The sequence below is a fragment of the Homo sapiens genome, chromosome 22 (genome assembly GCF_000001405.40).
Source record: "Homo sapiens chromosome 22, GRCh38.p14 Primary Assembly".
Lineage (NCBI taxonomy): Eukaryota > Metazoa > Chordata > Mammalia > Primates > Hominidae > Homo > Homo sapiens.
The window spans coordinates 46,918,183-46,929,296 of record NC_000022.11 but is presented as its reverse complement, the minus strand read 5'-3'; the positions used below and the strand labels follow the sequence as shown (position 1 = coordinate 46,929,296).

General features: G+C 39.6%; 1 protein-coding gene across 19 annotated transcripts in view; it reads right to left on the bottom strand.

The window, feature by feature from the left end:
• TBC1D22A (TBC1 domain family member 22A) overlaps positions 1–11,114 on the bottom strand; it is a 413,050-nt gene that overhangs the window by 246,403 nt on the left and 155,533 nt on the right. The window contains exon 10 of one of the 19 annotated variants that reach the window (XR_007067970.1): positions 1,931–11,040. The gene's annotated coding sequence lies outside the window, so the exon portion shown is untranslated. 19 annotated transcript variants of the gene reach the window in all.

Sequence of the window (11,114 nt, the reverse complement as noted above, 5' to 3'; positions counted from 1 at the left end):
GCCTCTTCTAAGAATGCATCACAAGACTAACCTAAAACACAATCAAGGATTTGTTTATGGAGCCACCACATGCATTATCAACAGTGAAAAAGCAGAAACCACACAATGTTTGTCGATAGGAAGCTGCCAATTACATCTCCTTACAACGGGATAATGAGCTTCCACTTTCTTTTTCAACCTGTTTAACTGAGATATAATTCACATACCACATAATTAAATTATTTGCAGTGGTTTTTCATATATTCACTAAGTTGGGTAACCACCACTACAATCTAATTTTACAACATTTTGCCTCCCCCCAGAAGAAACTCTGTACCCATTAACAGTCAATCCCCCGGCCCCCACATTCTAATTTCTCCACATCCTTGCCAGCATTTGTAACTGTTAAGTTGTTATTGTTCATCTTTTTGATAGTAGCCATCCTTGTGGATGTGAAGCGGTACCACACTGTGGCTTCTGATTTGTATTCCCTAATGATTAATGATGTGGGCCATCTTTTATTTATTGCTCATTTGTATATTTTCTCTGGAGAAATATCTATTCAAACACTTTGCCCATTTTAAAATTAGGTTTGTCTTAATACTGAGTTGTACGAGTTCTTTGTATATACTAGATATGAGTCTCTTTTCAGATATATGATTTGCAAACATCTTCTCCCATTCTGGGGAATGTTTTTTCATGTTCTTGAGAGTATTATTTGTAACACCAAAGTTTTCATTTTGATGAAATCCAATTTATCTATCCTTTGTCCCTTTTGCTTTTGGTGTCATATCTCAGAAACCATGGCCTAACCCAAGGTCATGAAGATTTCCTCATGTTTTCCTTTAAGAGTTTTATGATTTCAGCTCTTACATTTAGGTCATGATTCACTTTTTTGTGTGTGTCTACAGAGAGGCAGGAGTGGAACTTCATCTTTTTGCATTTCAATGTCTAATAACCGTCCCAGGACTACTGGTTGGAAAACATAAATTTCCTCATTGAATTCTCTTGGCATTTTTGTCAGAAATCAATTGACCATAAATATGAAGGTTTATCTTTGGCCTCTCAATTCTACTCCACTGATCTACATGTCTATCCACATGGCAGCATCACAGTCTTGATTAATGTAGCTTTGTAATAAATTCTGATACCAGAATGCGTGAGTCCTAATCTTTGTTTTTTTTTTTTTTTCAAGACTGTTACGGCTATTCCGGGTTCTTTTAATTCCCAAATGAATTTTAAGATAAGCTCGACAATTTCTGCTAAGAAGCCATTTAGGCTTTTGATAGGGACTGCACTGAATCTTTACATCAATTTGAGAAAGAATGCCACCTTAACAATATTAAGGTTTCCAATCCATAAACATGGGATGCCTTTCCATTTATTTAGATCCTCTTTAATTTATTTCAACAATATTTTGTAGTTTTCAGAGTGCGAATGTTGCACCTCTCTTGCTAAATTTATGTCTAAGTATCTTATTCATTCTGATGTAAGTGGATTTTCCTAGTTCCATTTTTAAATATTTCATTGCAAGTGCATGAAAATGTAACCGATTTTTTAATCTTGATCTTGCATCCTACAAACCTGAATTGGTTTATAAGCTTTCATAGTTTTCTAGTGGATTCCTTGGGGATTTTCTACATACAAGATCCTGTCATCTACAAATAGAGGTAGTTTTATTTTTTTCCATTCTGGATGACTTTTGTTTCATTTTTGGGCTTAACTGCCTTAGCTAGAACCAGTACTAAAATAGAAGTGGAGAAAGTAGATATCCATATCTTACTCCTGATCTTAGGGGAAAAACTTTGTCTTTTCAACTAAGCATGATGTTAGTCACAGAATTTTCATGGAAGCCTTTATTAGAGAGGAAGTTCTCTTCTATTCCTAGTTTGTTGAATGTTTTTCTCATAAAAGGGTGTTGGATTTTGTCAAATGCTTTCTCCATATCAGCTGAGATGATCATGTAGTTTTTGTCCTTTATTCTGTTAATACAGTGTATTACACGGATTGACTTTCAAATGTTGAACCATCCCAGCATTCCTCAAATAAATTCCACTTGTAATAATGCCTAATCCTTTCAATACGTTGCTAGATTTAGTTTGTTAGGACTTTGCTGAGGATTTTTAAGTCCATTGTGATAAGGAATATTGTTCTGTAATTTTCTTTCCTTGTTATGTCTTCATCTCACTTTGGTCTCAGAGTAATATCGGCCACATAGAATGAGGTGAAAAGTGCTCCCTCCTCTTCTATTTTTTGAAAGAGTCTATGAAGAAAGAGTGTTAATTCTTTGTTAAACCTTTGATAAAATTCACAAGTGAAGTCATCTAGTCCTACGATTTTCTTTGTGGGGATTTTTGAAATTATTGTTTCAATAATTAATACTAATTAATAACAAGTTAACATTATTTAAATTATTGATGAAAATTAGTTCATTGTTAATTTTAAATTGTTAATAATTAATTCAGTCTCAAAGAGAGACTTATTTTATGGAATTGGCTCACACAATTGTAGGGACTGGCAAGTCTGAAATATGTAGGGTAGGCTAGCAGGCTAGGAACTCGGTCAGGATTTCCCGTGAGGCAGTCTTGAGAAGAATTCCTACTTCTTCAAGAAACTTCACTCTTCAAGCTCATGGCCTTCACCTGATTAGATTAGGAGGCCCACCTACATTGTGGAGGGTAACCTGCTTTACTCAAAGTCCACCGATTTAAATGTTAATCACATCTAAAATACATCTACACTGCAGCTACAAATAGACTGGAGTTGGACCAAACAACAGGGCACCACAGCCCAGCCAAGTCAGCACAAAATTAACCATCATAGTCAATTTTGGCAATTTGTGTGTTTCTAGGAGTTTCTCTGTTTCATATACACTGCCTGGTTTGTAGAGTCGTTCATAGTATTACTTTAATGCTGTGTATTTCTAAAATTTCTCATGAATTTAGTAACTTGAGTTTTCTCTCTCTCTCTGGTCAGTCTAGCTACAAGTCTGTTTCACTTATTTCTGTTCTAGTCTTCATTATTTTCTCCCTTCTGTTTGTTTTGGCTTTATTTTACCCTTCTTTTTCTAAGTTTCGGAAAGTGGAAAGTTAATGATTTGAGGTCTTTTTTAATATAGTCCGTTACAACTATAAATTTCTCTTGGATCACTGCTTTAACTGCATCCTGTAAGTGCTGATATATTGTGTTTTCATTTTCTTCATCTCACAGCAATTTCTAATTTCCCTTACGATTTCTTCTTTGACCCACTGGTTATTTAGGGTGTGTTCTAAAATGTCTACATATTTGTCATTTTCTTCAAATTTCCTTCTGTTACTGGCTTCTAACTTAATGCCACTGTGGTCAAAGAACACACTTTGTATAAACTCCATCTTCTCAAAAGTATTACGGCTTGTTTTATGGCCTAGCATATGGTCTATTGTAGAGAATGCTCCACAAGCACTTGAGAGGAACATGTATCCTGCTGCTGTTGGGTGCAGTGTTCTGTGGATATCTACTAGATCTAGTTGGTTTTCTGTGTTGTTTATTCTTCTAGTTTCTTGCTGATTTGTCTCATTTTTCTAGCCATTATTGAAAGTAGTATGTTGCTACTTTTAAAACACGTATTTTTTAAAACTGTTGAATGACACTGGAAAATGGTTAGATACTAAGCAAAAAGCAATATTGAAATGTGCATGCATAATATAATAGCTACTATGGAAAAGAATCTACAGAGTAAAAGGCCAGAAAAAAATTAGCCAAACATTCAAGTGACAGCTTCTGGGATGGCAAAGCCATACTGTTATTAAACTTTCCAATCTTTTAAACAGTAAGTCCATTACACTAATTATTTCCGAAATGTTTTTAACTAGAAAAAATGAATATATATGAGTCGTGGGCAATGCAAAGATGTGGCACCTGCACAGTCAGTTCAGGGGCTGCAAAGCCAGCCACCTCCACTTCGCTATTCCACACACGAGCAACCCCAGGGAACTCTCTGCTTGTCTCACGTGGGTCTAGAACTGCTACAGAAAATGTGCTACGCTCAGATGCTTTGGTTTTTACCTTTCAATGTTTCCGAGATTAACTGTGGAGCACAAAAGCACCTAAGCTATGAGGAACATTCAAGGAAGTCAGGCAAAGGATGTATTTGGCAGTAGCCTTGGTTTAGACAACACAAAAAAAACAAGGTGGAGGGAAGTAAAATTTAAATGCTAACAATGGAAAGCTAAAACAAATCATTCTAAAGCTACAACTTATCAATGAGAAACTAGCACCAGCTCTTCTTTCCCTCACTGTCACTCAAAGCTCTATCAATACTCCGATAATGGAAATAAGCAAAAGAATGACTATGCTGCTAAAATCCAGCTGTGAGCATGTTCTCTGCGTTCATCCTCTCATGTGTCCCACCGGCTGTGGGGATTTTACCTGCCATCCCCACCACACACTCATCACAACCCTAGCAGTCCTCCAGCTCCAGGAGCCATATGCTAGAGTGTCCTCTCTGGGTAACCACATGCTTAAGAACAATCTATACTTTAAGAATCTGACTTACAAACAGGAATATAATGTTTTTGTTTTTGTTTTTTTTTTGAGATAGAGTTTCACTCTTGTTGCTCAGGCTGGAGTGCAATGGCACAATCTTGGCTCACTGCAACCTCCACCTCCCGGGTTCAAGCAATTCTCCTGCCTCAGCCTCCCAAGTAGCTGGGATTACAGGCATGCGCCACCATGCCCAGCTAATGTTTGTATTTTTAGTAGAGAAGGGGTTTCACCACGTTGGTCGGGCTGGTCTCGAACTCCTGATGCCCACCTCGGCCTCCCAAAGTGCTGGGATTATAAGCGTGAGCCACCGCACCCGGCAAAATAAATATTCTTAATGTTCTTAAGTAAATGCACTATTTATTCTAATCCCATTGCACATTTGCTTTCAAGAGTAATTTAAGAGAAAATGACATAGAAAATCAAGTCAATTAGATATTAAACATACTGATGGTGAGAATCCATTGTAAAACACTCTTCACCTTTTCCAAAATGTGGTCCTATTGCTCGCCTGCAGCACAACCAACATCCAGTCACTCCGAGTTATCCGTCCAAAGTACTCAGTCAAGACATCCAGCCACTCCGAGCTATCAGTCCAAAGGACTCAGTCAAGACTGTTTCTACATTTAAATAGCACGGAGGCATCAAAGATGGGGAGGGGGGCAAATACTTCTTTGTTTCTTGCTCTGCTAAAAATGTTTAAGCTAAAATACAATTGTCTGCTTAAACTGTGGAATTCAAGGTGATGGAACAATGCTCCTTAATTCAAAATCTTCAAATTTAACATACTTAAAAGTAATATGACAGTCGCTGTTTGAAAAGTACAGGCTTTTCTTAAAAATTACACCATGCCTAAAGGAAAGAAAAACTAAAAGAAAAGATTCACCAACACTGGATGGTTTCAGAAATTATGCTACATGATCTCAATAGAGCATTATGTACAGAAGGTAGAAATGATTTTTATAAAGATTTCTTAATACAAGGAAAAGCCTACATTGTAAGGTTAAATGTGGGAAAAAAACATGAAACAAAATGTTATAGATAATATGCACTCGACTATGTAAATACAATGCATAGAAAACAAGACTTAGAGGAAATACAGAAAACAGCTGCTTATGCACAGTGGTACGGCGGCTGCCTGGTGGCCATACACAGGACAGTAACCCCTGAGTGAGCGCTGAGCGGGCAAGTGCCCCGCACCCTGGCTCAAAGGACGGGCTGGAACCACAGCTCAGGCTCCAAGCTGGATGAGTCCTTCTTCCTCCCAGCCCAGACCTAGACACTGCGACCCTAGCAACCTAGAGAAGAGACCCAGGCTACCTTCGAGGCCCAGCCCTGGGCGGGGCAAGAGATGGGGAAGGGCCCAGATTCACACTGCTTGCCACACAGAGGTGATACCATGGTGCCACCCCCAAGGAACTGAAGTAGAGCCCAGGACTCTCCCCATGCAGATAGCCACTGGTCTCTTGGGAGCAGAGAAAGTAGAGAGATCCTTCTCCAGCCCTCCCAGTGTGGCTGTGTGGGAAGAAAGGATCTTAATCAAAGGGGAGGCTGCACAGTGAGGAGATAGGCTTCAATAAGTCTTCTCAACAGTGGGATGGCCAAGTATTTTAATTGCTTCCTTCATAACTTATCTATATTTACCAGTATCTCTATACTGTTTCTAAAGCTATGTTTTTACATTACTCTGTAACGCTGAAGGAACATACTTCAAAATAATAAGAGCCAATTATGACAAACCCACAATCAACAGCACACTGAATGGACAAAAGCTGGAAGCACTCCCCTTGAAAACCAGAACAAGACAAGGATGCCCACTCTCAAAACTCCTATTCAATAGAGTACTGGAAGTCCTTGCCAAAGCAATCAGGCAACAGAAAGAAATAAAAGGCATTCAATAGGAAGAGAGGAAATAAAAGTGTTTGCAATCAATACGATTCTATACCTAGAAAACCCCATAGTCTCTGCCCAAAAGCTCCTAGATCTGATAGCTTCAGTAAAATTTTAGAATACAAAAATCAATGTACAAAAAGCAGTAGTATTTCTGTACACTAACAATGTCCAAGCTGAGAGCCAAATCAAGAATGCAATCCCATTTACAACAGCCACAAAAAGAATAAAATACCTAGAAATACAGCTAACCAGGTAACATATAAGATCTCTACAATGAGAATTACAAAACACTGCTCAAAAAAATCAGAGATGAATATACAAATGGAAAACCATTCTATGCTCATGGATAGGAAGAATCACTATTGTTAAAATGGCCACACTGCCCAAAGCAATTTACAAACTCAGTGCTATTCCTATTAAACTACCAATAAATGACATTTTTTGCAGAATTAGGAAAAAAAACTATTTTAAAATTCACAAGGAATCAAAAAAGAACCTGAATAGCCAAAGCAATCCAAAGCAAAAAAGAACAAAGCTGGAGGCATTACAATATTCATGCTTATGAATATACTTGTGAGTACACTTGAAACTATACTTCAAGGCTACACTAACAAAAACAGCATGGCACTGGTAACATGGCACAATAACAAAAACAGACACACAGACCAATGGAACAGAAGAGAGAGCCCAGAAATAAAGCCACACATTTACAGCCATCTGATCTTTGACAAAGTGGACAAAAACAAGCAATGGAGAAAGGACTCCCTATTCAATAAATGGTGCTGGGATAACTGGTTAGCCATACACAGAAGATTGAAACTAGACCCCTTTGTTATACCAAAATCAACTCAAGATAGATTAAAGACTTACATGTAAAACCTAAAACTGTAAACATCCTGTAAGATAATGTAAGGAAATACCACTCCAGACACAGACCCTGGCAAAGATTTCATGACCAAGATGTCAAAAGCAATTGCAACAAAAACAAAAATTAACAAATGGGACTTCATTACACTAAAGAGCTTCTGCACAGCAAAAGAAACTATCAACAGAGTAAACATACAACCTACAGGAGAAAATATTTGCAAACCATATTTGCATACCATCACATACCAGTCAGAAAGACTATTATTAAAAAGTCAAAAAAAAAAACAGATGCTGTGGAGGTTGTAGACAAAAGAAAATGCTTTTACACTGCTAGTGAGAATGTAAATAGTTCAGCCACTATGGAAAGCAGTTCGGTGATTTCTCTAATAACTTAAAGCAGAACTACTGTTCAACCCAGCAATCCCATTATTGGGTATACACCCAAAGGAATATCAATCACTGTACCATAAAGACACATACACGTGTATGTTCATCATAGCACTATTTACAATAGCAAAAAATATGGAAACAACCTAAATGTCCATCAATGGTGGACTGGATAAAGAAAATGTGGTACATATACACCATGGAATACTATTCAGCTATAAAAAAGAACAAGATCACATCCTTTGTAGCAACATGGACGGAGATGGAGGTCATTATCCTAAAAGAACCAATACAGGCACAGAAAACCAAATACTGCATGTTCTCACTTATAAGTGGGAGCTAAATATTGAGTACACATGGACCCAAAGAAGCAAACAATAGACACCAGGGCCTGCCTGAGGGTGGAGAGCGGGAGGAGGGTCAGAATCGAGAAACTACCTCTCGGGTACTACGCTTATTACCTGGGTAACTAAATAATCTGTACACCAAACCCCTGTGACTCACAATTTACCTATATAAAAAACCTGTACATGTACCCTTGAACCTAAAATAAAAGTTAAAAAATAATAACAACATAGTAGCCGGGCACAGTGGCTCATGCCTGTAATCCCAGCACTTTGGGAGGCCGAGGTGGGTGGATCACTTGAGGTCAGGAGTTCGAGACCAGCCTGGCCAACATGGTAAAACCCTGTCTCTACTAAAAATACAAAAATTAGCCGGGCATGGTGGCACACACCTGTAATCCCAGCTACTCAGGAGGCTAAGACAGGAGAATCGCTTGAACCCAGGAGGCAGAGGTTGCAGTGAGCCGATATCGCACGACTGCACTCCAGCCTGAGCAACAGAGACACCATCTCAAAAAAAAAAAATGAATAAATAACATAATGTTAACTTCAAAAAATAAATAAAAATTATATATTGTTTCAGTGTTTAAACAAATACTAATAAAGTGCTCTATAAACACAAAAACTTTCTGTAGGGATCCAATTCAACAGAGTTTCTCTAATCCACGAAGCTTCTCTGTGCAAAGCATGACACACGCATGCGACACAGTCCCCAGATTCGAGGAGCAGCGAATCTACCTGGGAGAGGCACAACAGGAAAAAAGAAAACAGAGCACACATCAGGAATGAAACAGAATCACAGCCTCCATGAGTTTTAGGGAATATATGGAAATTTTACCTTTCCATATATCCCTTCTAAAAAGTTAAGGTATAATTGTCATAGGACATGACTAAATGATTATTAGAATGGGAGAATACCCAGCTTTGAGCTAGGCACAGTGGCTCGTGCCTGTAATCCCAGCACTTTGAGAGGCCAAGGAAGAAGAATTCCTTGAGTCCAGGAGTTTGAGACCAACCAGGGCAATATAGCAAGACTCTGCCTCTACAAAAAATAAAAAATTAGTCAGGCGTGGTGGTGCATGCCTGTAGTCCCAGCTACTTGGGAGGCTGAGGTAGGAGCATCACTTAAGCCTGGGAGGTTGCAGCTGCCATGAACTATGATAACGTTAGTGCACTTAGCCTAGGCAATAGAGCAACACTCTGTCTCTCTCCTTCATTCATACATACATACATACATACATACATACAAACAAACACATATATACCTAACACTCAGCTTTAAGCCTAGAAGAAAACATCAGCATGTGCATCCATTTTAAGGGGGTTAAACAGTTGCCATAAAGGTTCCCTCTTATGACAGGGAATTTGGCACTGGGCACAAAGGCTGTCAACACTGAAGTTGCTGGGCTATGGGGAAAACAGCAGCACCGGGGAATTTATTCCTCTTTACAAATGATTTCTACAGTCAACATCCCTTCTTATCTGAGTTTTTATCACAGTTTGAGAGTAAGAGGCAGAACTCAATCTCTTTAAATTAATATAAGATTCAGTAAAGTCTACAAAAAAAAAAAAAAGAGTGAAAGATGATGACAAGTGTTGACCAGGATGTGGACACACTCCTGCAGGAAGAGGAAACATACGCTCCTCCCACAATGCTATGGGCAGGGAAAATGGTGCCGCCACGTGGGAAAGCAGTCCGGCAGGTCCTCAAAAGGTTAAACAGAGTAACCATGTGACCCAGTAATTCTCCCAGTTATATACCAACAGAAATGGAAACACATATCTACACGAAGACTTGTACATGAATACTCATAGCAACGTTATTCCTGTTAGTCAAAATATTAGTCAAAAATGGAAACAATATTAGTCGAAAAATGAAAACAATCCAAATGTTCACCAACAGATGAGTGGAGAAACACAACGTGCTGCGTCCGTACCCGGAGACGTTACCTGGCTACGGAATGAAGGAAGTACTGATTCACGCTGCGTGGATGAACCTTGGAAGCATGATGCCAAGTGGAAGAAGCCAGACACAAAGGGCCACGCACCATGTAATTCCACTCACGTGAAATGTCCAGAAGAAGCAAATCCACAGACACAGAAAGCAAATGAGAGGCTGCCTGGGGCTAGTGGACAAGAGAAAAGGGAAGGATGGGGAGTGACTGCCAATGAGTATAGGATTTCTTTTGGGGATGATGAAAATATTCTAAAAACAAAGGTGCTGATGGTTACACTACTCTAAATATTCTAAAAATCTTTCAACTTTACACTCTAAGTGGGTAAACGTTATGGTTTCTAAACTGAATCTCAATAAAGCTGTTTTTAAACAGCAGTAGTAAGTAAAGTTGCATGGAGGTTGGGAGTGGGTGGGGGACAGAAGGAAGGAGAACGGTGACTGCTGGAGTCAGATGACGGGCACGCGGGTTCTTCGGACAATTTTGTTGACTTTGTGTTTGAAACTTTCCATCATAAAAAATTATTTAAAATAAAGTTGCAAGAGGCTGTGGTCCACTGAGTGCAATCTTCCCCAAGCACAGAAACATTCAGGCCCCCATTTCTGAGGGAGGGCAGGGAGCTGATGTGACAGTTTGCTTGCCACTATTCTTCAGCCAGATTTGGCAGGTCGCTAGCAAGATCCCCACTATCAAATGCTTTGACCAATTTTCAGTCTCCATCCCTATGAGCTCTGCTGACCACTCCCTCCTTCCTGAAGTTGTCCCCTCCCTTGATTTCTGTGATACCTCAGGCCTGGCCTTTGTCTTACCTCTGAAACCACTTCTTCTCCATTTCCTTACCACACCACCATACCTCTCCCCGGGGCACACACTGGTCTGGCAGCCTGCATGCACACACACACAGACCCTCTTCCTTGCCTCCTGTCTCCACCCACATCTTCTCCAGGTCCCCTGTGGCTGGTGGGTGGCAAGGGTGTGGCTGATGGAGGACATCGCTGTGTGGGTTCCAGGAAAGCTTCCGAAAACACATAGGCTCAGCTGAGGCGTGCTTTGGCCTCGGCCCTGCACCCTGCACCATCTCCCTCTCTCCAAACCTAGGACAGGGACAGAGCAGAGATGCGGCCACCATTTTAAGCAGAGGAAAGCCACAGGCAGCAACAAAGAAAGT